The sequence below is a fragment of the Homo sapiens genome, chromosome 6, assembly GCF_000001405.40.
Source record: "Homo sapiens chromosome 6, GRCh38.p14 Primary Assembly".
NCBI lineage: Eukaryota > Metazoa > Chordata > Mammalia > Primates > Hominidae > Homo > Homo sapiens.
Window position 1 is genome coordinate 46,827,175 of NC_000006.12, and position 27,789 is coordinate 46,854,963.

Below are 27,789 nucleotides of genomic sequence, written 5' to 3' on the forward strand. Positions count from 1 at the left end.
CAGACCTGGTTTGAAATATAGCTTCACCACTTACTAATTGTGACCACAGGAAGTTGTTGTCATGTGTGTGCTTTTTCTAAAAGTCTTGGCTTTTGCAAGCCTCTGTAAACATCAAGATATTGATGTCTACTTCACAATGACAATGGAAGAAGATAATGCATACAAAGCCCCCACCTGCAGACCAGCAGCTTCACTCCCCATTTTTCCATCTTCCCTTTCTCTCCAGAGGTTCCGTTTATTTTGTTTTTCTATTTTAGCCTTCTAGTATTCTGTGCCTGCCATTGAAATCATCTTAACCCTATTTGGAAACAGGTGAGGTTACAGATTATTATAGCTTTTCAAAGACTAGACTATTGCAAAGTCACTTAGTCCGTAACTGTCTGAGAGTTGGTGAGATTCCCTTCCCAGAAGGAACACAGCCTGTCACCCAGATACCAGGCCACCACAGGGAATGTCAGAGGTGATAAGCCACTGACACTTTTCCTCCATCTTTGGAAGAGGGTAAAAGCTTCTGTCACAGATCAGATTATCAAACATATCATCCCAAGTGTCCAAAGGTTGATCCAAGCCTGAAGTGCTCTCTAAATTTCTGTTGTAGCCTCTAATCCAACCTAGTCTGTGGGCTTGCTGTTAGGCTAATGTACAATTGCCAGCTAAACACAAAGGTGATCTTTATTGTGAGCGGAATCTGCTGAAAAAATGTTCTAGTAAGAGAAAAGGACCACAGCCCAGAAGAAAGATCTGGAAAAGCTGTATCAGGTTAACTTGAGCAGCTATTATGCTTCTTTCACAAGAGGTATTTAATGGAACATGTCCCTCTGCTAGAGAGCTCTTGCATAGTTACAGGTGGATGCGTAGACACAAAGAGCTTGAAGGATCCATTGGGAGGATCCCTCCCATTCAAAACCCACGGAAATAAACACCTAGGGAGAGCTGGGGATAATTCAGGCCTCCTGAGTTCTGGGCTTGAATTATTTGACTCTCAATTCATGCTTCATAATACACCTGGGCAAGAATTCCTGAGTAAGAATTACCTAGAAACCTTTATAGCCTTGTGCGCTGTTTTTTTTTTTTTTCTAACCCAGGCATTCAATATATAATTATAATTCAGAGGTCTCAGGCAAGTTCAAATATTGAGAAGAAGATACAAGGGAATATAATTTGCCCTGATTTAATATTAAAGTCGTTTGATATTTTAAGCTTGGTGGGAAGCTTATTTAAACCATCATTGCTTGCTGCTGATATGAAAGGCACGTGCCTCAGTGTGAGGCAGGATGAAGCTGGGAGCATCACGGAGCAACGCTGGAGTATCCAGCACTATACTGTACACTCACTTTATTTTTATCTTGTGAAATGTTTTGATGGAAGCATTTTGATATGGAGTTGAGTGTTGGAACACAGTATAAAGAACCTCTTCATATGCAAGAATTTTTCATTGTGCTTGACTTTGACAAGTGTGTGGTTTACCAAACGGTACATTTGTTTGGCTGCTTGACTGTTTTTAGGGGAAAGAGTTTTGAGATATCTGAGTCAGGTAAACCCTATCTCTGGCACTAATGTAGACACTTTTCACCCTCTTCAGTGTCCTTCCAATTCCTTCCTTTACATTCAGGGGAAATTTCCATTTAGTCTCTAATGTGTCCTGAATAGCCCTTCTTATAATATAGTAAAGATTACTTTTTTGCCACTGATAATACACCCAGTTATTAGGCTAGCAACAGGGGAAATTGAACCCTTATTGTCAATGTTTAAAACCAAATCCTAAATCTTTGAATTCCAGTGTCTTATACAACAACCAGACCAACCCAACTCTTTTCCTTGGAATGAATCTCTAATTTAAAGAATGAAGTCAATGAGAAAAATAGAATTCATCTCACAGACACAAAATTCCATCAAACATTGCTTGAAGCCTGTGTTTCTTTAAGTCAAAGGTATATATTTCACAATCTTGGAACAAAGGCAATCAAACACAACAGTGGAGAGCAAGCTTTAGCCAGTGACTAAGTCCATTGAGACAGAGAATATTTACTGACAAATGTCCTTCTTTTTATTTTCCTCCGAAGAGTTCTAGTTTTTGTTGCCTGGACAATGGCTGTGGTTCACTATTTCACTTTGTTTGGGTGGACAGAACCCTGGGGTGTGGGAAGCCAGACGTGTGATGTTTGGCTGCTCTTTCCATAGGTGCCGGCTACTTCATGCAGTTCAGCACCAGCTCGGGGTCCGCGGAAGAGGCAGCCCTACTGGAGTCTCGGATTCTTTACCCAAAGAGGAAGCAGCAGTGCCTGCAATTTTTCTATAAAATGACGGGAAGTCCTTCAGACAGACTCGTTGTCTGGGTCAGGAGGGATGACAGCACAGGCAATGTTCGCAAGTTGGTGAAGGTGCAGACTTTTCAAGGTACTTAGAGGCATTCACACGAGGAATGGATTGGGTTAAAATCCGGGATCCTGCTTCTTCTCCTCCTTCCCTCTTTCCTCCTACTCCTCCTTCTTCTCTCTCCTCCTCCTTTTCCTCCACCCACTTTCTTCTCTTCTCAGAGCCTATCATAATATATGGCATGTTTTAATTACTCTATGAATGTTTTAACCACTGAGAAATTAGAAGCAGTATCTTGGGCTTAGGTAGGGATGAAATATACTTTTGTAAGAAGCCAATCAGAATATACAAATCCAGTTTTCACTGGAAATTTAGAGAAAGCAAAGGCCAAGACTGAGAAAATGGATGGTTCAGGAGTGGAGATAAGAAGGTAAAAGACCTGTGCGAATTGATGCTGCGGGAGAGAGAGTAGTTAAATAGTTGACCAGCTCACGCCTGGAATCCCAGCACTTTGGGAGGCCGAGGCGGCCTTGTGGATCACAAGGTCAGGAGATTGAGATCATCCTGGCCAGCATGGTGAAACCCCGTCTCTACTAAAAATGCAAAAATTAGCTGGGCATGGTGGCGCGCGCGCATGTAGTCCCAGCTACTTGAGAGGTTGAGGCAGGAGAATTGCTGGAACCCGGGAGGCGGAGGTTGCAGTGAGCCAAGATTGCACCACTGCACTCCAGGCTGGTGACAGAGCAAGACTCCATCTAAAAAAAAAAAAAAAAAAAAAAAAAAAAAAAAAATTGACCAAAGTGTTTTGCATCTGTTTCAGAAAAACAAATGATACCATTATTTAATATGCTGAAGTAACTTGAAGCCTACTTGTGAAGTTGGTGGCAAATAAGTCATTGGTATATGTTAACTTCCTATAATCACTAACATGTTCCTAAGTGTCACTTTGTATATTTATATAAGAAGGTCAGCATGTAAATGATTATAGATGGAGAAATTTTTGTTGAAAAGTAAGAAAGCCTGTCTCCCTTTTCCTAGTTATGAATGAACCACCACCATAACAAAAGAAAGCAAATACTTTGTTTATAACCCTGGATCTTGATTTATGGCCAGATTATCCTAGCATCCAACTGCCTACCTTAGCATTTAATTTATCAATTGAAATGAGTCCAGGGAAAGGAATTATTTTTTATATATCTGCTGCTCTTGAAGAAGAAACCTTCCTTAGAGGTCACTTGTAAGAACAGGTGCCCAAATCGCCTATATCCAAGCCACTCTGTGGGCTGCCTGGGAACTCTACAAATCACAGTTTTGAGGGGTTCACTTTTCTGGTTGAAATTTATTATAGTTTATATGATAAAAGGATGACAGCTAGATACTCTTTAAGAGTTGAGGATGTGTTATGTTACCAAGGATTGTAAATATTTAATGAGAAAATGAGTTAGAGTTTCAATAATATTGATGGGACCTATTATCACTCACTTTCATCTAAAGCTAAAAGCGTTACTTCTAAGCATAAAATCAATCAAGCAAACATCCTATGCTTAATTTAGTTTCTTACACTGCTGTGCTTTGTGTTTCATTGAATTCAGAGTATGCCTGTGTACGTTCCCTGGGAACACTGTATGAAAGGTTTTTTTAAGTAGTCTGTTCTGATACTGGTTTGTCAATGAAACTTTTCAAAAAGGTTAGTTGAATATCACTTAGTGTTGTTTATGTGATATTCAACTTAAGACAGTCGCAACCAATTTGAATAGCTTTTAAGTTTTGCAAAATGTATATTTTGACCAAAACACTTACACACAAAATGTCTCCATATGCATATCTGTATATAATATATGTTACATACATAATGCTTATATACAAACTTACATGAAAAATGTTGGCATACAACTATGTGTATGTACACACACATGCACACACACACGTTTTTACTGAGGCCAGGACTTCCTTATAGAAGACAATTCTGAACTAACAGGGATTAAATTTGTCTCAAACAATCGTAGTAGCATTATTGCCTGACTGATTTAGGGCAGCCCTGTGGAAGCATGTAAACGAAACCATCTTAATAATTTCATAGATGAATTTCTGCCTATGTGGTATAGCCTCTTGGGTCTCCTTCCCAGTGCCAGATTCCCCCATCTCAACCTCATTTTGACATCCTATATTAAGAAAAAACAAAGCAGGTACTAATCAGCAAGAACAGAATCCTATTCTCTTGACAGAATTCCCATGATCTATAACCTGCTGGATAAATAGTTCAAATCCTATATCTCTGTTCCTATTCCTAGACTTTCTGGCACCTATTACCCTTCAAGTCCATGTGTCTTCCACTAGGCTGCCATGCTCTCCGCAGGAGAGGGCAGCTGCCTAGATTTGTATGTTACAGAGGTGGTCGTGTGCCTTCTCTACCTCTCTCCTGTGTTCCCATGTAACCTACCTCTCTCCTGTGTTCCCATGTAACCTAACCACACAGGCCATAATCAGCTCCACCCTAAGAAACAGAACATTGTTAGACCTGTCCCTTGAAGTTGTACTTAGAGAGAATGGCCTGAAAACACAAGGGAGATTAAAGGTCTTTTCCTTTTCAGGGAAAGTATAGTTCTATAAGTAGATATCTGGTTAAAAGACACAGAAGAAGGAAAAAAGACACTCATCTGTAGGAACTCAGTTTAGCCAACATGACTTCCACTTGGAAGCATTTTTCCTCTCCTCTTCAAGCCCAACTCTAGGGAATACCCTGTGCAAAAATATCAGTGTAGGCACATCTCTTTGCGGAATTGAGTTGCTTTGCTTTCGCAGTTTCCTCTCTCCAGTACCCCCAAGCTCCTGTCTGGCTTCTTATACTGTTCAACCCAGGATCCTATGTTCTAGAACGGCCTTCTCACCATCTTTCCTCAGCTCTTAATTCGAAAGTCCCACTTCTAGTTCATGCTCAGAGAAAAAGCAAGTAGACCTAATCTTTATTAGAACGTGCATTTCCAGACAATAGTACTCTATTTGGCTTACTTTGCTCCCCTACATGGTGGACTTTCAGATAATATAAGGAAGAGAAAAAAGTCTAGATGTTGGAGAGGGAGTCAGTTTTAGGTAGGGAAGATCCAGTCAGTCCTACAGGTTATTATCTGCTCTTCAGCATTCCTTATAGCTCTCTGGCAACAAGTGACAGGTCGGACCATATGGAGTTACTATTTTTTTTACTTTTGGCTTAGAAAATGGCTATTTTATATGATTCAGCCTAACACTTGGGTTTTCTTTGCTAACCTTAGGGGTTACAGTTGAACCAGCCAACTCAGGAGGAAATCCAGAACCTGGATTCTTATAGTGGAAAACAAATTCACGGTTAAGATTTGAATGTGAATTTTAAAATAAATCATAGTATTTTAAAAAACAATTTTTCCTTATTAGGTATGTAACTTTGGAAAAGTTACTTAACCAGTTTATAACAGTACCTATTTTATAGGGCTGTTGTGAGGATTTAATGAGATAATTTATGGAAAGCACATGGCACTGTGCCAAACTCATAATAAGTACTCATTAAGTGTTGGTCACAGTTCTCACCAGCCTTGTTCTCTGTCCTCAGGAGATGATGACCACAATTGGAAAATTGCCCATGTGGTGCTCAAAGAGGAACAGAAGTTTCGCTACCTTTTCCAGGGCACAAAAGGCGACCCTCAGAACTCAACTGGGGGAATTTACCTAGATGACATCACTCTGACAGAAACCCCCTGCCCCACAGGGGTCTGGACAGTCCGGAATTTCTCCCAAGTCCTTGAGAACACCAGCAAAGGGGACAAGCTTCAGAGCCCTCGATTCTACAATTCGGAGGGATATGGTTTTGGGGTAACTTTATACCCAAATAGCAGAGAAAGCTCTGGTTACTTGAGACTTGCTTTTCATGTGTGCAGTGGGGAGAACGATGCTATCCTGGAGTGGCCGGTAGAAAACAGACAGGTGATAATTACCATCCTTGACCAGGAGCCTGATGTCCGGAACAGGATGTCCTCAAGCATGGTGTTCACTACCTCGAAGTCGCACACATCTCCAGGTGGGTGGTGTCAGCGCAAATAAGAACTGCCCCTTGAACCAGAGAGGCCCACAGATGTGATTCTGTGGTGCAAGAAAGAGTAACGTTCTCCTCACATTGTCTGTTTGGGAATACCAATAACATAGTCTTGTTGGAGTTTCAAGTCAAGATTTTCAATGCCATCACATCCTCCTTCCCTTTCCTAAATTCACTCATCAAACATCTATTGAGGGCTTACCATGTGCCAAAGTCGGTGCTAGGTACTTAGAATACAAGTGAATCAGGTGATCCCTGCCTCACTGAGCTCGTTGTGATTGAGGAAATAGATACTGCTAATCATTTATCAAATACTTGGAACTTGCTGGGCTCTGTGCAGAGCTAATGTACTTACTCCTAAAATAGTACTCAATGTTACTATGTTCATGAAGTAAACTTACATCAGTAAAGAAATGGGCAAACTATTTTTTTTTTTTTTTTGAGATGGAGTCTCCCTCTGTCGCCCAGGCTGCAATGTAATGGCGCATTCTCGGCTCACTGCAACCTCCACCTCCCAGGTTCAAACAATTCTTCTGTCTCAGACTCCCGAGTAGAGATGGGGTTTCACCGTGTTGCCCAGGCTGGTCTTGAACTCCTGAGCTCAGGCAATCCACCCGCTTTGGCCTCCCAAAGTGCTAGGATTACAGGCGTGAGCCACCACGCCTGGCACTAATTTTTTTTTTTTTCAAAAGAGAAGACTTAAGCCTTAGAAGAAAGAAGCCGTAGCTGTCCCTCTCTTTTCATTAAGAAAGTCGCTCAGTAGCAGACAACTGATCACTCAGAGCTGTGATTCTCTGCCTCTCCCATCTTTCAATTCTGAATTGCAATTCTCCTGGAAATAGTAAATAGCCTAATTTTTTTCCAACACTTTTTTTATTTTTATATTTATTTATTTATTTATTTATTTATTTATTTATTTATTTATTTATTTCTGATTCACAAAGCCCTGTATCCTCATTAAAGACAAACTGGAAAGTGAAGTCTAAAGAGGTAATGTGATTTTATGTTACCTACAACTTTGCAGCGATAAATGACACTGTCATCTGGGACAGGCCGTCCAGGGTGGGAACCTATCATACGGACTGTAATTGTTTTAGAAGCATCGACTTGGGCTGGAGTGGTTTCATTTCCCACCAAATGCTGAAAAGGAGGAGTTTCCTGAAAAATGATGACCTCATCATATTTGTGGACTTTGAAGGTACTTTTGTTGGTCTTCCTGAGTAAATAATCCTATGCTCTTGGCACTCTACTGATTTTATCCTGATTTTTAAAGCACACACGGAGGGTGGGGATGAGGTTAAAACAATGTGTTGTAGGAGAATCACATTTTATTCAATTGGTCAAGGACTCACATCTTTATTTTAATTGTCCTTGAAAGAAACTGAAATTTTAGTGTCATCTTTTTGATAATTTTATCAGAGGTAACCGTTCACTGATTTCAATTTAGTTTCCATCAGCCTATCCATGCTAATTTTATGCTTCATTTTGCAAATTCAATAAATAAAAATGTGACTGGATTACTTTAAAATAAAAGTAGCTAATACTGTGGGAATCAGCTGGATTCAAAGCCACTTTTCCATGTCACTAGGGGTGATGGGAGATAGAAGCAGGCTGGGGAACTTTCACCAGAAGTGGGAGTTAATTGTAGTCAGTTACTAATCCTGGATCTTCCTCATGACTCTCTATTTCCTGAAGATATCACCCACCTCAGCCAGACTGAAGTTCCCACTAAAGGCAAAAGACTGAGCCCCCAAGGCCTCATTCTCCAAGGCCAGGAGCAGCAGGTCTCCGAAGAAGGTTCGGGAAAGGCCATGTTAGAGGAAGCCCTACCTGTCAGCCTGAGCCAGGGGCAGCCCAGCCGACAGAAGCGGTCGGTGGAGAACACAGGCCCCCTGGAGGACCATAACTGGCCACAGTACTTCAGAGACCCATGTGACCCAAACCCTTGCCAAAATGACGGCATCTGTGTGAACGTGAAGGGGATGGCGAGCTGCAGGTAGGCTCTGTGGCTGGGGAGACAGGCAGGCCAGCAGACCTGGGCCGTGTGCATGCTTGCTCCTGGTAAAGGCTGCTGTTTGCAGAGTAGGGCGAAGACTACCTCAGATGGTCAACTGAATGCGGTTTTCTTTGACTCTACAAAGGTGTGCCCTGGATTCATGGGCTTATGCTGCCAGGACAGAGGCTTCCCAGGTCACCTTGTCTCTTGACTTTCACCCCTTTTCCCCTCTTCTGGGGTATTGTCAACAGCATCTTGGATGTTGTTGGAATTTCTAACTCTAACAACACCCAAGATGGCTTCTAGCCTAGGGACTTTCTACTCCATGAGGGTGGGTCTCAAGACCAAGCTTAAATCTTTGCTGACTACAGATGTTATTAGTTCCTAATTATTATTAGTTCTATAGTCTGTCATTTACACTGTACTATTATTACAGTTATATTTTCAATAATAGTAGTAAGAACACCTGATATTTCTGACCCCTTGTTATGCATCATGTAGTCTCCTGAGCATCTTACACGCATGATCTAAATTCATTCTCACTGCCACCTGTGACATAAGGGCTCTCCTTATCCCCGTTTAGTGTGTCAAGAAGTTGAAGCTTAGAAAGATTAAGTAATTTATCTAAAATGTACCCAGATGGAAAATGCTGAAGCTGGGACTTGCATCTAGGTCTGTCTGGCAGCACAGTTTGCTATATTTTATAGTTCTTTTTATAATGTTTGCTTGCATAAAACCCTAAAAACTGTTTCACAAAAGGAGGTATGTGATGACAGAAGCAACAGTTCCATTTGAACAGTAGCAGATGTAGAAGCTATTCTGCCTGCCTCAAAAATTTACATTTCTTCTGAGTTCTTTTTAGTCTCCTTTTTTTTCTCTTTTTGTAGCTTTTATTTTGAAATAATTTTAGACTTACAGATACAATGCAAAAATACTACAGAGGTTTTCTCTATACCATTCACCCAGCTTTCCCTAATGTTAGCATATTACACAAACCATAGTACAATTAGCATAGCCAAGAAATGAACATTGGTACAATGCTAGTAAATAAATTACAGGCCTTATTCAGCTCTTCCCAGTTTTCCCACTAATGTTCTTTTTCTATTTCAGGATCCAATTCTGGATCTCACATTACATTTAGCTTTTATGTCTCCTGTCTCCTAATCCCCTCCAATTTGGGACAATTCCTCAGTTCTTTCTTGTCCTTCATTACCTTGACACTTTCGAAGATTACTGGTCAGGGATTTTTTTTTTTTTTTTGGTTCATCTTGTTCTTACATGATTAGATTGAAGTTTCACATTTGTGGCAAGATTAGTAAAGATGTGCTATGCCTTCTCGCTGCAGCGTGTGAACAGGTACATGATGCCTATACATGTCATTACTGGTGATGTCAACCTTCATTATCTGGCCAACAGCATGTCCACCAGGCCTCTCCACTGAAGAGTTACCATTTCTCCCTCTGTAATTAATACGTATATTGGGAGAGATATTCCAAGACCATGGAGACATTCTGCTTTTCCTCAAATCCTCACACACTAATTTCAGCATCTGTTGACACATCCTGCTGCAATACTCACCACTGAGATCTTCTAATGTTGATTTCCTATATCCTTCACATTCATTAATTATAATCTCCTGTAAAGAAGAATGGCACCTTCACCCCGTTAATTTGTTTATGTGATTGTTTATTCACATCACGAAGGAATCATAAACATTAATTTTATTCAGTGGGCTCTGTTGCAATAATTTCATGATTTATTTTGTTGCTTCTATTGTCCCAGCTTTGGCCTTTGGGAGCTCTTCCAGGTTGGCTCCTGTGCTCTTTCAACATCAGATTTTATGAACACAATGTTACTTTCTGGCACCATAACATGCTCTAGGCTCATCTTTAATTTTTCCTGCCCCACCCATAGAATCAATCACTCTTCCAAGAAGCCCTCTGGTTCCTTTTACTGGGGAAGGCCCATCTGTTTCTGGGCTCCAAAGCCATAGGTCTGCATATCTTTGCCTGACAGGCCCTTAGATGCCAGATTCCATTATGTGTCCCCAACAGGCTTCATCCTTCCCAGGCTAAGGGAGGCCAGGGCTGCCACTTGTATGTCAGCCTCCACTCAGCCAAACTATTGCTCTCCTAGAAACCTGCAGCTGAGAGTTGGCAGAATAAGTTTTTCTAAGGTAACACTAGGGGATATCACTAAGTTGTGTTTGGAGAGGACTGGGTCAGAAAAAAATGAAATAAACTTGCTATTACTCACTGATTTCTAAGAAGTCAATTCTCAGGATAGAGATGAGGCCTTGGAAGGTAAAATCATTCAGGATTAGTAAAAGAAAATGCTGACTTCTTATTTTTTTTTTTTTTGAGACAGTTTTTGCTCTTGTCACCCAGGCTGGAGTGCAATGGCACGATTTCAGCTCACTGCAACTTCCACCCCCCGGGTTCAAGCAATTCTACTGCCTCAGCCTCCCGAGTAGCTGGGATTACAGGTGCCCACCACCATGTCTGGCTATTTTTTTTTTTTTTTTGGTATTTTTAGTAGAGATGAGACCATCTTGGCCAGGCTGATCTCAAACTCCTGACCTCAGGTGATCCACCCGGCCTCCCAAAGTGCTGGTATTACAGGCGTATGCCACCATGCCCAACCAGAAAATGCTGACTTCTAATTGTTTCACTCTGCTCTGTAGAATTCTGCTGAGTAGACCTTCTAGTAGGAATGTTTGAAACAAAGGCTGGAATTGTTACAAAGGTATGGATGAGACACTACAAGTTATATGCCTTGGTTATGAGATTAGTTGATCTTTATACCAGATAACATTAAGAAACAAAACTAAGGGCTGGCCATTATGTGCTTACTCTGTGTTAAATACCTTGATAAGTACAGTGTCCTCATTATCTCATGTGAACTTCAGGGCAACCTCGTGAGATAGTGACAGTACACTAACCTTATAGTAACATTTTATTTGATATTATTTAGAAGTTTTTAAGTTACCACTGATGCTCTAAGTCGGTCTATATCTGGGGAATTTCCTTTGTAGCTTATATTCTCAGCCAGTGTCAGGCAATGTATTCCTTTAAGTGTCTCAGGCCTTCCTCCTGAGTCCTTGGTGGCTGAGAGTCCTGGATCTGGAGGCATACCTCTTGAGATTAGATTTCAAGTGTGAAACACTTACTAACAATGTGACCTTGAGCAAATTATTTAACCTTCCTGTAAGATGAAGATGATGAGAATGGCCAAGTAATAGCCTCCACCTCAAAGGGTTGTTGCAGGGTTAAATTAGTTGGTCCATATACAGCTCTTGAAATGGGACCAGGCACCACGTGGACCTGCTCAGTGAGCGTTTGCCATTTTTATTGCTGTGGAGATGAGTGTTGCTAGGAGGCACCTGAGGCCTGGGTAGTTCCCACACTCCCTTCATGTCCTTTTCCCTCAGGTGCATCTCTGGACATGCTTTCTTCTACACGGGGGAGCGCTGTCAGGCCGTGCAGGTGCACGGCAGTGTCCTGGGCATGGTGATCGGAGGCACGGCTGGCGTGATCTTCTTGACCTTCTCCATCATCGCCATCCTTTCCCAAAGGCCAAGGAAGTGACCTGCCTGCTGGCATTGGCCAGACCACAGCAGCACCTCCTCCATGCAGGCCTTAACTTTCCCATGGTCAATGCAGTTTTTATCAGCCTTGCTTTGGATAGGACCTCCAAGGACTAAGGCCTCCAGCCCCATGTGTGACCCTTGTCATCTCTCTGCCCCACATAATTCTGTTACTTTGCTATGTGCTCCTAATGTATCTAGTGTGTCCTGTGACAACACTCATCACACTTCATTGTAAATCACTTGTTTTATTGACTGTCTTTCCTATAGACTGTAAGCTCCATGAGGGCAGGCACATGTTGTTCTCATTGACCGTGCTGGCCCCAGTGCCTAGATGCATGGCTGGCACATTGTTGGCACTCAACAATGGTTGAATGAATAAAACAATAAATGAATGAATAACTAAGATATAGAAACTCTCATTTATATTGCAGATTGAATATATATGATGAAATTCTTATGTTGAATATGTTAGAATCAAATACTCATTTTTCATTAGATACAGTAGTGTCATCACTCTTTTAAGATCTTGTTAAAGATTTCAAATAAAGGTACTTCTGGGCAGCCAGGCTGCACAGCATTTGCTTTCCTCTGAGATTCTAAGAGAAGGCCTTTAATAAATTTAATAAATATTGAGTTAGCACCTTCTTTGTATCTGGTATTGTATATAAGTGTGGGTGTGCATGTGTGTGTTGAAGGGTAGGGGTGTTCAAAAGCTCTTTCCCAGATCTTTTAAGTTTAATAGCATATTTTATAGCTATTTATGTACAACATTATCATATTAACAAACTGAAGGTATCAGAGAACTTTAAAGAAGTATTTTTAGATATGCTTTCTTTCCATAGTTCCTAAGGAGATAAACTCTAGCTGGGGCAAGGAAGTTCCAAGATAGAGCAAGTGAAAAAAAAAAAAAAGCTAAAGTTTCTATACCCAATCAGCAATAAGTCAGCTCAGGAAGTTTAATAAATGAAAAGATTTTAAGGATTCTGAGTGGTCCTTTAAGTCATAAGGTTTCCTAAGTAGAGACTTTATGACAATTTTGTAGAGTTAAAATGCACTGGAAACAAAATGAGAGATTAACAAGAGTTTCTTTAATGCAAAGTTATGGGAACAATTTGTAGCGAGTGAAAACAGCACCCCTGAGGGCAATAACTCTCAAACTTCAGGTGCATCTGTATCCCAGGGAGGACTGATTAAAACAGATTACAAGGCCCTACACCCAGAGTTTCTGGGTCAGTAGATCTAGGGTGGGATCTAAGAATGTGCATTCTTAAATGTGCCAGAATCTAACAAGATATAAGAATGTGCCAGAATCTAGTAGGTTTCCAGGCCATGCTGCTACTGCTACTGACTCCCCCACAACCTCCACCTCACAGACACCTTGAGAACCACTGCTCTAGTGGATAGAAAACAGGTCTGGAAGCCAAGCATCCTGGCTGCAGGCTTGGATTGCCCATCCAGCTAGCTGGGTAAATTTTAGTAAGAAATCATTTAAGCTCTTGATCTTAGTTTACTAACTTGTCAAATGGAAATAATAGCTGACTATCTCCTTCCACATGACTTTACCACTTACAGAGTAGCAGAGTAATACAATGGGATAATGAATATGAACCTATCTTAGAGTTTAATATGTATGAAAATATTACTATTCAATGTTCAGACTAGATAGGAAGCTATCCTGTCACCAGCCCAGTTGTATTATCTCCAAAGACCAGATTGGAAATGGATTTCAGCTTTGTTTCTCGCTGTGCTTCACAGTCCTGCAAACCCTCCACTAACCTCAGAGTTAGGCCTAAAGAAAGCCATGCCCTTAACACTCTGCTCAATATCTGACCTCAGAAGTGAACTCTAGGCTTTGTTGCTGCTGCTGCTGTTATTGTCCTTTTGTTTTATTAAAAGGAGCATGCTGTGGTCTGTCACACATGGAAAGGCCCCAAGCCCAAACCAATGACAACATTTCTTAAATACATGAGTTTCTCTCTGGAGGAAGCAGAAGCTAAAATTTCAAAGATAACCTAGTATTTTCATCTAGTACTCCAAATTAAAACTGCTAGGTCAAAATAATGATAAGGAGGTACCAGAATGAGGGTAAAGCATTTTGATATTTATTTCTCTCTAGATTCTCAACCAGCACCATGCCTACTATCTATGTTTATCACTTTTGATGATTAATGGAAACCTCTGTTGATTGATTAATGGAAACCTCTGTTGATTGATTAATGGTCTGGCTCACTGTAAATCTGACATGTTATTCAGCTTTTCTTTGAGCCCAAACCCTCAATAATTCCAGGAGGACTAGCAGATACTTTATTCTTTTAAGATGTTGGGATGGTGATGGCAGAGGGCATGTAGGGTGGGGAGTAGGTAGAAATTAAGCATTTCATAATCTCTAGGCAGTGTGGAATTCAGGATTTAGATGAGCAACATGAAAAATGTGGGAAATCCTCCCTGAATCTGAGTGTCTGACTTCTTTAATCTTACATAGTGGGAATAAGTCATAGTGGCTTGAAAATTTGAGAATGTCTCATGCTTCCCCCACCATATCCTCGATACATCCCCATCTGCATCCTTTCCTTCTGTGAACTGACCTGAGCCAATCTGGCCATTCACAAATGTCAGGTTCTTTCAGTAATATCTGGAGCCTCTGATAATTAGAAGTGGATGGGAACTCTAACCCCCTCTCTGATGATGTTGAAATGAATCAAGATTTAAACTAAATTCTGCTACACCTTCATATTTGTTAACCATTGTTGCGGGAAGTCAGGGACCTCGAATGGAGGGACCAGCTGGAGCCGCAGCAGAAGAACATAAATTGTGAATATTTCATGGACATTTATCAGTTCCCAAAATTAATACTATTATAATTTCTTATGCCCGTCTTTACTGCAATCTCTGAACATAAATTGTGAAGATTTCATGGATGTTTATCACTTCCCTAATAATACTCTTATAATTTCTTATGTCTGTCTTTACTTTAATTTCTTAATCCCATTATCTTTGTCAGCTGAGAATGTACATCACCTCAGGACCATTATTGTACAAATAGATTGTAAAACATGTGTGTTTGAACAATAAGAAAATCAGTGCACCTTGAAAAAGAACAGAATAACAGCGATTTTCAGGGAAAAAAGGAAGGTAACCATAAGGTCTGACTGCCTGTGGGGTCGGGCAGAATAGAGCCATATTTTAATTCTTGCAGAGAGCGTATAAATGGACATGCAAATAGGAGAGATATCGCTGAATTCTTTTCCCAGCAAGGAATACCTTGGGGGAAGGAATGCATTCCTGGGGGGAGGTCTATAAACGGCTGCTCTGGGAGTGTCTGTCTTATGCAGTTGAGATAAGGACTGAAATATGCCCTGGTCTCCTGCAGTACCCTCAGGCTTACTAGGATTGGGAAATTCCAGCCTGATAAATTTTGGTCAGACTGGTTCTCTGCTCTCAAACCCTGTTTTCTGTTAAGATGTTTATCAAGATAATACGTGCACAGTGGGACATAGACCCTCATCAGTAATTCTAATTTTGCCTTTGCCTTGTGATTTTTATTGCCCTTTGAAGCATGTGATCTTTGTGACCTGCTCCTTGTTTGTATACCCCCTCCCCTTTTAAAATCCCTAATAAAAACTTGCTGGTTTTGCAGCTTAGGGGACATAACGGACCTACTGATATGTGATGTTACCCCCAGAGGCCCAGCTGTAAAATTCCTCTTTGTACTCTTTCTCTTTATTTCTCAGACCAGCCAACACTTAGGGAAAATAGAACCTACGTTGAAATATTGGGGTCTAGTTCCCCTGATAAACCATCAAGCCCACAAATAGCCATCCAACCTGTTTTGTAGGTGTAGGGAAGTCTCTGCTCTGTCCTTTTAAGTGCTCCACCTCCAAGCCTCTTGGATTAAAGGTTCATTCTAGACACATACAGTCAAATAATCTGAAGGCCAAGATCTGTCAACTCTACCTTAGGGTTTCTGAACCTCAGCCCTGGTAATATTTTGAGGTGGGTATTCTTTTCTGTGAGGGCTGTTCTCTGCATTGTGATATGTTTAGTGGCATCCCTGGCCTCTACTTACTGGATGCTCATAGCACACTTCTTCAGTAGTGACAACCCCAAATCTCTAGGACATTGACAAATGTCCCCCTGAGGGGCAAAATCATTACTTATCAGGAATCACTGCTCTAGTTGGATCAGCCAATGAAACCTTGTATTAAGTGAGGGAAAACTAGGACCAAACAGAGTTCTAGTCTAAGGTTCTACCCCAAAAGTTAGTTCACTGGGCCTGCCAGAGTATTGTACCTATAGCTGTCTTGATAATTGTATTTAACCAATGCAAAAATTATTTTAAGCATCCTTTATACTAATAACAAACCCTCTGGTGTAGCTTGCTATAGAAATATTTAAAGTTTTGCAACAGATATTTTTCCAGTAGAGACTTTTGATAGGATCTTTCAAATACTAACTAACTGCTATTGGAGTGTGTGTTCCTTTTCAGAATACTTTGCATACTATTTAACCTCCCCCAGGGTGTGGATTTAGTCCCCCTGCAGGCTGTATACAGTGTATTTCCTATATGGAGGCATTCACAAGCAAATTACAGATGGATCTCACACCTTCCCTTCTTGAGCTCTGCCTTTCTCATGAATTATATCATCTGTTTTATGGCTTGATTAAATTTTAGAGATTCTGAAGTCCACCTCTTGTATTTGGGTAAACTGAGGCAATTCTGGAGAGGCTAAGTGCCTTAGGCAGGTCACAGAGCCACTTAATAGCAGAATCTATTATTCTTGTTTGACTACAGAAAACCTTAATAAGATTAGAGGTTTGGAAGGTGCTATAAAATGTAGGCTAATCTATATGGAACACTATGTAAAGTTCTTTTTTACTTGGTTTTCTTTATTAGGTATATCAGTTTTATGGATAATTAGTCACCTACTCAAATTTCTATATGCTTATAAATATGGTTAAAACATCTTTCTTATGTCAGTTTTAATATAAATATGTTTTTCAAAAGTCTCTAAGCAAAGAAAAGTTTGAAAAGATTTATAGTTATCCTGTAGCTGTGAGTGTCATTTAGCAAACTCTTGATAACTCTAATGAATGGGGGATGGGAGATAATGGAGTCAGGTGCCAGTGACCTCTAATGAGTACTGATGTGAAAAAATATGATAGGAAAGATTTGATATGGGTAGGGCAGCCCAACAGATGTGTGTGTGTGTGTATGTGTGTAAGAGTTGCAGCTAACAGTGATATCAGAGTAAAGACAAGACCCATCTCTCTTTGCCTTCCACAGTTTTACCAAGAACTAGTCCTGGAATCCCAGAATGGATTGAGACATGGGCCTCATCTGGGTCACAGCATACCTTAGGGCCTAGACAAATGTAGGACAAATTGACCCATGTGTGGCTCACCAGCTCAATGAAAATCATTAAAAACATTTAAAGATCCTATCTGGTCAAGAGAATAAAAGGAGAATAGAAAAATGGGGTCATAAGAAAGGCATGAGAAGAGAGCAGGAGGCAGAGGAGATGTTCAGATACCAGCCCCCAACAAAAATGGTCACCAACATCCATTCTTCTTTTCTCAGTAATAGAATCCCCAAACTCCAACTGGTCAAATGGCTACTCAGAGTCTAGTTTACATTCTCCTGCTTCCTTTGCAGGTAGATGGGTGATATGGTTTGTCTCTGTGTCCCCACCCAAATCTCATCTTGAATTGTAATCCTCATGTGTGGAGGGAGGGAACTGGTGAGAGGTTATTGGATCATGGGGGTGGTTTCCCCCATGCTGTTCTTGTGATAGTAAGTGAGTTCTCATGAGAGCTGATGTTTTTAAAGTGTGGCAAACCTCCTTGCTCTCTCACCTTCAAGTCTTGCTACCATGTAAGACGTGCCTTGCTTCCCCTTTGCCTTCCACTGTGATTGTAAGTTTCCTGAGGCTTCCCCAGCCTTGCAGAACTGCTAGTCAATTAAACCTCTTTCCTTTATAAATTACCCAGTCTCAGGTAGTTCTTTATAGCAGTGTGAAAACAGACTGATACAGTGACGTAGTGTGATCAAATTCAGGCCAATGGAATGGAAGCAGGAATGTTGCATGTGATCTTCTGGGAACCTTTCCTAAAGGAGTCTTGGTGCACACCTGCAGTCCCTTCCTCTATCCTAATGACTGATAACGGGACATAATGGCCAGAGTGAGAGCTGCCAAATGGGGCCACGTGGTGGCCTTGGGAAAAGCAGGTTAAAAAATAGAAAGTATCTGGATTTCTGAGAACTGCACTGAGCCAGGCTGCCACACCAGTCTTGGGCTGCTTATCTGTATTAGAGAAATAAACTTCTACTTTAAGTCACCGTTATTTTGAACGTCTGGTACTCACAGAAAACATGATCCTAATGGATATAATTATTTCTACAGGGCCAGCATATGGCTTAGACTAAGCCAATCATGATACCCTGTACTGCCACATACACATGAACATTTGGAGAAGAAAAGGGTTGGTCTTCTTTTTAAATCTCAATCTATGGGTCTGTGGACCTCATAAATTTCTCTCCTTTGAAGATCTACCTTGGAATGAAATAAATACACTAAGAGAGACAACAACATAAAAGGAAGAGCCAGAACTCTGAGAACACTGTTTGGGCCCTTGAATCTAGCTGTACCTGAAGGTGTACCAATCTAGTATCTTTCCCATTATATGGTAAGTGCCCACTTTTGCTTAAACTAGTTTGAATGTGGTTCTGTTACCTGTAACTGAGAAAGCCTTAATTAACACCACTGTTATAGTGCATAATTGGCTTATCTGTAAAGAAAAGAAATAATGAAATTAGTTTGAAAATTAAATAAAATTATGTAATATGTACGATTACCAAAACTGATTTGAAATGCAGACATGGGGAAGTTAACCAGGCTCACAAACTTGTTATGTGAATTATTCACCCATTCTGGCTTCCTAATAAGCATGATTTAAACTCAAACCTTGATAAAGTTATGATTTAGGATGTCACATACCTTTGACGTTACTCTCAAAAGCTCTTAACCATGAATTAAATGTGAAAATGTAAAAGGCATATGTAGTTTGATTCTGAATAGAACTGGTGTCTAAATCTGAGTTCTACCAAGATCTATCAAGAATTCTGAGTGTTGGATATTATTTAGACACATAGGAAGAAAATATGACTTCTCAGAAATGAAGTGTGATTCTGAGGCTGTGTTTAAATATATCAAGTGGAGAATTGAAACATTTGCCCTAATTTGGCTAAGTCGTGATGCGTGATGTATATATGTGTGTATGATACATATCTACTATAATTTTTATGCACACACAGTATGATGCAAAATAATAAAGGCTAACTTTATTCTGCAATAATTGCATGCCAGATATGATTTTGTAGGCTTTATAAGAATTTTATAACAACCCATGGAGCCTGTACCATTATTATCTCCTTTCAAGTAGTGTAAATTGAGGCAGAAAGAGTTATTTTACCAAAAGTCAAACTAATAAGTGGTGGACCTCCAATTGAAAAGCACACAGTTTGGCTCTAGAACCAATGCTCTTAACCACCGTACCACATTTACCAAACTGGCTGTCAATCAATGCTGAAGAACAGCCCAATACACCTGTCCATGCAAAATGAAGCAAAGAGTGCAAAGCATTCAAGTAGCAAATCAGCTGCTGTTTCAGTCTGCATATCATAAGGAAAATCATGACTTAGCTAAATGTATTAGGACAAATGTCCCAATTCTCCACTTGATATGTTTAAACATAGCCTCAGAATCACTCTTCATTTCTGGGAAGCCATATTTTCTTCCTACATGTCTAAATGCCATCCAACACTCTGAGAATTCTTGATAGATCCGAGATGAAAATAAAAACAACAACACTGGTGATTGAGACCTTACAAGAAGCTCACTTGAATGAAGACTCAAGCTGGGGGGTTGAGATAGCTAAGTTGAGAACTACTTTCAATAAAGCAGCACAGCAGGAATTCTTTGATGTTTCATCAGAGACTTAAAAAGGAAGCAGGCACACTCTGAAGTTTGCCCAGAACATTGGTCTTTATGTCCTGGGCTGCCCCAAGGTAGAATTATAAAGTGAGATGAAGCTGGGAGATGCCTTAACTCCTCCACCCTCTCTGTCACCATTGTTCTCCCCTCTCATTTTGTGCATTTGAAACTTTTCCTGCTATGGAAGCCTACTTTTAAGCAAGTAACTGGCATCAGGTTGCATAGAGAAGCAACATAAGGAGGTGGATACATGCCCATGTTCTAGGTCAGACACTGCACTTAGATCCTGGTTCTACTGGTCCTCAGCTGTGTGACTGTGGACAAGTTATTTACCTCTCTGTGCTTAGTTTTTTCGTCTAAAAATGCAAAGAAAAAGAATATTTAGTTACTTTTGGTTTGCTGTAGAGTTTAAATGAAATTATACACATAAAAATCTTAGAACAGGACCAGGTACACAGCAAGGGCTCAAAAACTGTTGGTTAACATAGTTATATAGTTACCAGCCATTTTCATTCGAGGGTAAATTTAAGTTACTGTGTTTCACCCAGAAGTATATTTGCATACCTTTTCTCTCCTTGAGATTAACCTGAGATTAACCTTCTTAACCTTATCTGTCCTTGAGATTTCTGTTTTTGTAAAAGGAATGTCCAACATGAGGGAGAAGGTGTGAGAGCTATTCCGAGGGGATAGGAGCAACAGGCCAAGGTGCGTGACATCCCCCCAAACTGGGAAGCTGTCTGCCTTATTACTTAAGGCCATTTCAGCTTGTCCCTCTACTCCAAGGACCTGGGTCTTCTCGGATCACACGTTAGCAATGTGTGCTCAGAGGCTAGGGTAGGAACTTGTCATCCAGCCTCAGCTGCTGGCTGGTCTGTCAGATTGCCCTGGGATAGCTGCAGATTCATCTGCAGATTCATCATGGATTGAAAATGAAAATCCAGGCCAGCAGTGGCTTTGAATGGATGAATTAGGAAAGGGAATAGGGCCACCTATGTTAATCCTTTTGCAGCTGCCTTGATAGAAAAAGTATTAGGTTCCCATGAAACATGGAAGGCACCCATTTTTCTTCCTCAAACGACCTTCCAGCAACCTATCTGGAATGGGTGAACCAGATCATTTCTGGGGCTTTCAGTTTTGTTGTTAGTGCCATAAATGAGATTCAGTCAGTGAGGGGGGACAGAGAAAGGAAGGAGCTATCCCAGCGAGTATGCCTCAGAAATGTATGCCTGCCTGTGGATGTGCAATGCACACTTGTAAACCGAACAGTCTCTGAGACAGGTCTCAATCAACTTAGAAGTTTATTTTGCCAAGGTTAAGAACACGACTGGAAGAAAGGAACACAGAATCACAGAGACAGTCTGTGGTCCGTTTTTCTGCAAAGATATTTTGAGGGCTTCAGTATTTAAAGGGGAAAAGTGGAGGCGAAGAGGGAGGGTATGGTCACAATGCATAATCCATGCATTGCAGGAGAAAAGGAGCAGGTAGGGGAATAGTCAGTGATGTATTCATCTCAGTAAATCGGCACTTTACATAAAAGGTGAACCTAGCGTAGCTATCTGTGGAGATATCTGGCCTTTCATCTGTTAGCTATTCGCTTAGCAACAGAAGGAAAAGGCTGTTTCTTGCATGACTTAGCTTCCATCTTAATTTTTTCCTTTTTGCATAGTGAATTGGGGGCCTGAAATTTCCTTTGCCTTTCACACACTGAAACTACATGACTGGGATTTCCCTCCCTCCACAGTCCTACGTTGCTTTCTGACTACCCTTTCCCCTGCAAGGATCATAATATAAAAGTGTTAGGAGGCGGGAGTGAAAGAGATTTTTTTCATTCCTGGTTTCTGTTATCCACTATGCCTTGACCTTCGCTCTGTCCATATGATCAAATTACTTCCTGAACCTAGACCGTTGGGCGCGTCATCCGCGGGACTGACTGCCTCCCGCCGGCTTCCTGAGGCCGGACCGCAGCGGGGACGCCTCCTCTCAGGCCCAGCAGGGGGCGCGCGAGCCTCAGGAGACGCCAGCGGTGGTTGCGGAGCTGCGGTGCTGGAGGCCAGCTGTCACTCCAACCCAGCTGGAGATTCCTGTCGGGAATGCTTGGCATAGGACAACTGTGAGGGAGCCCCTGGGGCATGGGAAAACCCTCACAGTTCCAGAAAAAAACAGAAAACGGGTGCACAGTTTTTCTCGGTTAATCAAAGTCAAATTCCTCTTCCCACAACTGCTGGGGTGCCGGCTGGCTGGCAGGATGGAAGACCCAGGATGGTAAAAATCAAAATCCGAAAAAGGCAGGGCCCAAAGTCATTCCTAGGTTTTGCGGTTTAATGTCATCGGAAGTGGGCCGTGACAGCAATCTGCCCACCACTTGCCCAGTCAGGTCCTCTTGCCTTTCATGCTGAGAATAAAGCCATTTTTTTCCCCCCAGGCTTCTGGGTTTGTTGTGTTTGGGCTTCAATAGTCACCGGCATCCTTCACTTGGCTCTGCATGAGAGAATAAAAACCCTGCAGTGGGAACAGGCTCATGTATCTCCTAACCATGCCCCATGTGTGCAGAGGGACCTGTCATGGACACTGGTGGCCTTTCAACTTCATTTCAAAGTTTACAGGTAAAAGGGGAAAAATGGGTGTGTATAAAATCATTTAAGAATAGACAGGACGGCTGTGTCTGAATCGTAGGACACCACGACCAAGGCCCCCACGCCCACCGCTAACACATAGAGATGATATTTGGAGATAAGAACTGGTCTGGCACAGAGCGGGCTTCGGGAGTTGGCCCATCTCCCCTCTTTTCTTCTTCTGTCCACTCCACATTCACTAACAGTGGGAAACTTGGTTTCCGTCTAGAATGTGCTAGAGGATAAATAGAGCCCTCACATCCTTTATATTCATCTATAGGACATGAGGGCTCTATTTTCAGCTGTCAATGAAAATTTTGAGTCATCCTCACACAAATGTTGGAACAGGCATCTGTTTATTTGCTAGACATTTGGTTCTGAAAACTTTACTTCAAGGACCCTTGTTTAAACCTTCTATAACATGCTGGATCTTTGCACACGGCTTGGGAGTGTGGATGAGGTGAGGGAAACCATCAGCCCTGACAGCCAGTTGAGTTCAGCGGCGAGCTGCCGGCCTCCCCCATGCCTGGAAGATAGAAAGGATCGTTCGCTGTTTGGAGAGTGGAGGGGCATTCTGGGTGACATGCAGAAGCCTGAGCAGCAGCAGCACCACATTGCAAGAAGGCAGACAATTACTACAAAGACAGCTCACGGGATCTCATTAGATATTTCCTTGTTATGGAATGGAAAGGAAGCATAGCTGCGTGCTGGCATACATGATGTGATTTTAAATCCCAAGTCATAATTTTAGAAACCAACAGAACCTAATATTAAAGCTAAACTACCGTCCTCTTGAAATGATGAGACACCATTCCCGTTGCCCTTTTAAAAACACAATCAAAAGGTATGTTCCCTGTAAGTTCCACCTTCATTTTGAACACTTGAAGAATCAGGCTTTTACTGGCCTGGGTCACTGGGTTTTCTCTTTGGGATGAGGACTTATTTGACTTCACCATCACATGGCACAAAATAAATGCATTCCGCCTACCTGGCATTTCTAGGACCACCTATTTCTTTTTGTCTTCAAATGATTGTGACTTCCTGCTTCATTCACCTCAATAACTCACCCACACCTCCTTTCTATATTTGCTAATTGCTGTAATCTTTCTCATCTCCATGTAACTTTTTTTTTTTTTTCTGAAGCATTCCAACATGGGTCTCTTTGAAATTTTCTGTACAAACCACAAAAGGCCGTGACTTCCCACAGTCTTTCTTAATTTCTGGCCTTAGCAACCTACATCCTGAAAACCCCACAGACATTTATTTAACCATTTCCCCATGCAAACAATAAGAAATGGGGGAGGAGGATGGCAGACATCTGGCTTACTCAGGAGATGATGTGTTAGTCTGGACCTAGAATATTCCCAGAGAATATTCCTGTAATCTGTATTAACTGCTCATTTGTGAATGTTCTAACCTCACAGACTCTGACGCATTAGGACAAAGCCCTTTGCAAGAAACGGACTTAATGGAAAGCTCCTAATGCAAGAAAGTTTAGGCCCAGGGAATGGTCTTTATACACTGAGAGATGTTAGGAACACAGGGAAGCACTGGGCACCTTACGAACAAAGTAGATCGCACAACTTAATGTGCCTTCATTCTCAGAAATCTGCTACTAATAGCCTTGTAATCATTGCTGATTGAGAGATGGCAACCTCAGGGCCGAGTGAGGCTCCTGCATTCATAAAATTCTCAGCTTCATAACTGCTCTTCTACAATTTTGAATTCTACTGTTGATTTTAGGATTTTCTTGGGAAAGGGTAGTGGCTGGGCTAATGTGTATTGCAGTGCGCAGAAAACCAACAAGTGTTTCTCCAATTATTTGCTTTCATAGCTTTTCTGGAATTTGGACCCAGTGCTGTGGCTTGAAAGGGTGAAGCACATGCATGCATGTATGTGCACATGTGTGCATGTGTGTATTTGTGTGTGTTGGGGATAAGGAAACATGCCCCGGTTAACGAATGGAGCAGTGGGCCAGATCCACATCCTGTGTAACTCCCACAGGCTCCTGCTATAATGAAAGTTCCCTTCACAGGGTTGAACACAGTAATTCCCCAAGGGATCCTGGCTGAAGTGGGTGGAAGTTCAGCGTTTCTTGTCCCACTGAATTTTTGAACATGACAACCACATCCTGCTCCTGATACTGTGTGCTTTCCTTGATTGATCATGTCAAGATAGCCCTGCTAGCATTGTGCTCCAAGCCTGGCTCGATTCTTCTTGATATAACTCCAGGAACCAAATCAGTCAACGGCCTTCTTTCTCTAATTCTAATTCAAGGGATTTCCCTCAACCCAACCTCTGTCTCCATCTTCTTAGTACCAAGCTCTGCCCAAAGTTGATCATTCCTGAAGAACATGGCATGCACTTATAGCACAGCAATGATTTCCTTTAGGGACGTTCAGTAATGCACCATTCATTTGGGACTGGGATGTGACAATTCTCAGGCAAATGTGGGAGTAGATGTCTATGTCATTTGTGAATATGTAGAAATAAAGAGTTCATTTACATTAACTGTCCCACCTCTGTCCCATACCTCTCCTTCCCCATGAAGAAAAGAGAGGCAGAAGTAGAATTTAAGTAGAATTTAAAACTAAAAATAAAAAGAAGATATTTTAAAGAGTTAAAATATTAAAAGAAAACTCCTTTGAACCTCAATAAAGAAATGGCTGTTGAATCTCAGCCTCTTTTGCCGCATCTTCCTAACAACTGGACCCATTTATGTTGCCACACGGCCCACACATCCTGAGTAGCCCCACAACTCTATTTTTGTCTCATTCTCCTTTTGGGATCGGACTTTTATTTGCAATGTAGCGTTGCTGTATCAATAGTACATGGTTAACTCTAATATGCGTGCAATTTTCATAAATATTTATATTTTTTAATGAAATACACACCAAAAAAAAGCACACATGCAGATAATTCACAAACAATCAAATCCTTGGGAAAGGCTCTGCCATTTGTTCAACAAGGTCAAGTGTCATTAGGAGCACAGAACAACCGAATGTAAAATTTCTTTCCAGGAGCTTTCCACGTGGTTGGAATAAACACAATTTAGACCATGCAAAACTCTTAATGTATATTGGTCTGGGAACTTAAAGATGGAAACAGAGAATACATAGGGAGCTATGCAACACACCAAGGGCCAGTATCCACAATAATAATAACAGTGACAACAGCAATAATAATATACAATGCTATAAGATTATTAAAATCTATTCTATAATGCACAGAGAAGTACCTGCTTGAAGCCATTAAATATATGACAGGGTCTGTCTTCAGTGCAACATATCAAATTTGGCAATTGAAGGGTATATCAAATATATATTTTTTGCTTTCAAAATGTGGAACAAACTAAAATATAAGGCTTTTCTGATAAACTATAAAAATTTAATCAGCACTTGGATCTAATGACATATCTTTGTAATACTTCCTCTGCAGATACATTCACTTAGTTCAAACCTTAACATACAAAGTTAGTCTCAGGAGGATCATATTTCCTTCCATTCATTTCTTATAAATATTGTTATCCACTTGAAGTCGTTCTGATGAAGGAATTTCCTCCCTATTTTTTCAGCCTTTTTTTCCTCCTCTTAGCTAAGAAGACATCAGGAAGATACTGCCCAAAGTATTCATTCCCCATGACTTGCTTTCAGTTTCCATTTTTGAGCCATTAAAAAAAAATTCTCAATGTTGCACTGAGTGATTATATTAGATCATTAACATGGAAATCTTACAATATGGCCCTTAATGTTGTTTGTCTTTATTTGTTCCTATTTTCATCTTTCTCTTTTTCTTCTTTTTCCCTTTCTCCCTGTTTCCCTCCCTTCTTTCCTTCCTTTCTTCCTTCCTTCCTTCTTAGAATTCACTGAAGTATTTCCTAGGTAGCCTTTTACTTACTACTTTAATCAAAGCTTATCTTTGTGCCCAATGTGTAAAAAGTGAAAATGTCTCTTCGAAATTCTATATTACAATATAGACAGAGAAGTTGGGCCTTGAGGGCTTGAGTTTCACTTAAATACTATACACATGTGGTATCACACAAGGGGGAGGGGGAGGGAACAAACAGAAACATAACAATTATTTTTATTCTGTCTTTACAAAAGAAAGCCTCTTCTCTATGAAAAAGTCTTTTTGGCATCTGCTCCCGGAAACCTGCCCCGAGAACACGTTCCCCATTGCTTTGCAAGCATCTCTTTTTAAAAGCACAGCCACTGTCCCCGGGAGGTCACGTAGGTTGGATTATCCTGTTCTTAGTTGAGCAACGAAGAAGCACTGGATGAGTTTTCCAGGGATGAGCTGGTTGCTTCTGGGGTGGAAACATTATACGTTCCTGAAAAACAGAGCAGCAACTCAGCCTTGAAGACAAGCCATCATGAACTCTGGGGTGTGAACATCTCCTAAGGGACCCAGGGGAGCAGTGGTCCAGGTGCCAGGTAAGCTCGGCCATGCCTGGAAACCAACCCATACCTGCCCTCCTCCCAAGACCCAGAAATGCCAGAAAACTAACAGAGCTGTCGTTCTCATGCATGCGTGGCAGCCAACAAGCAGTCACTACTTCACATCATACCAGCAGCCAGGTTTCTACAGAGGACAGGAAGATCTCAAGGTGGAAAGCCCTGCACATGCCATCACATGCATGGTCTGGGAACATCTGCATGAGGGAATCTCCCTGGTCCTCTTGGGTTGTGGTGACTTGGGGAAGCTCTTGGGAGGCACCTAGAGGCTCTACTGAAGGTGGAGGTTTGTAAAGAGAGAAAAGGGAAAGGAAAGAGAAAATTATAGGGGGAGAAAAAGCAGGACCAGAAAAGAAGCAGGAGTCAGGAATGTCAACAGAACTGCTGAGAATCAGCGCAGCAAGGAAGGCAGCCTCAGAGCAACTGCACAGGCTTGTCTGCGGGGAGGTGGGGACTGTGCACAGGGAGTGGGCAGAGAGTGTGTGTCGGGCAAGAAAAGGGTTGAAGTGCCCACCCTACCATCAGATTGCTGAACTGCCACCGCTAACAAGGTTTCCGTCATGGCCTGGGGGGATCTTAGGGGCTGCTGACAACATAAACCAAAGTTACGGTGCTTATGGGGCCCCCAAACATGCCCAATTGGGACTTTCATAATCAGAAGTGAAGGTCCACCAGTTTCATAAGTAATTCATCAAATTGAAGCAGAAAAAACCCAAGTCCTGTGGAGTTTTAACAGTTATAGGAATTCACAAAATTTGCTTGTATATG

At 41.3% G+C, this 27,789-nt stretch overlaps 2 protein-coding genes across 12 annotated transcripts in view, besides 1 other annotated feature; one reads left to right on the forward strand and one right to left on the reverse strand.

The window, feature by feature from the left end:
• The window catches only part of MEP1A (meprin A subunit alpha), a 52,596-nt gene extending 33,786 nt beyond the window's left edge, over positions 1-18,810 (forward strand). For 2 of the 3 annotated variants that reach the window (XM_011514628.2, NM_005588.3), the window contains 5 exons: positions 2,182-2,397; positions 5,900-6,364; positions 7,404-7,577; positions 8,075-8,375; positions 11,806-12,604. In XM_011514628.2, coding sequence (XP_011512930.1) covers positions 2,182-2,397; positions 5,900-6,364; positions 7,404-7,577; positions 8,075-8,375; positions 11,806-11,962 — 1,313 coding nt within the window. In that variant the 3' untranslated portion in view covers positions 11,963-12,604. Of the gene's footprint in view, positions 1-2,181; positions 2,398-5,899; positions 6,365-7,403; positions 7,578-8,074; positions 8,376-11,805; positions 12,605-18,365 lie in introns of those variants that run through there. The other variant, XM_011514629.3, reaches the window with a different exon arrangement.
• Positions 19,667-20,231: an enhancer, noted in NCBI's record as "NANOG hESC enhancer chr6:46814578-46815142 (GRCh37/hg19 assembly coordinates)". NCBI's record gives its function as "activates a minimal SCP1, AML or CMV promoter by ChIP-STARR-seq in primed H9 embryonic stem cells {active_cell/tissue: H9 hESC(primed)}" and the evidence as "EXISTENCE:reporter gene assay evidence [ECO:0000049][PMID:30033119]".
• The window catches only part of ADGRF5 (adhesion G protein-coupled receptor F5), a 102,418-nt gene continuing 99,976 nt past the window's right edge, over positions 25,348-27,789 (reverse strand). For 7 of the 9 annotated variants that reach the window (XM_047418326.1, NM_015234.5, XM_005248893.4 and 4 more), the window contains one exon: positions 25,348-26,897. In XM_047418326.1, coding sequence (XP_047274282.1) covers positions 26,818-26,897 — 80 coding nt within the window. In that variant the 3' untranslated portion in view covers positions 25,348-26,817. Of the gene's footprint in view, positions 26,898-27,540; positions 27,608-27,789 lie in introns of all 9 variants that reach the window. The other 2 variants (XM_005248895.5, XM_005248894.5) reach the window with 2 other exon arrangements.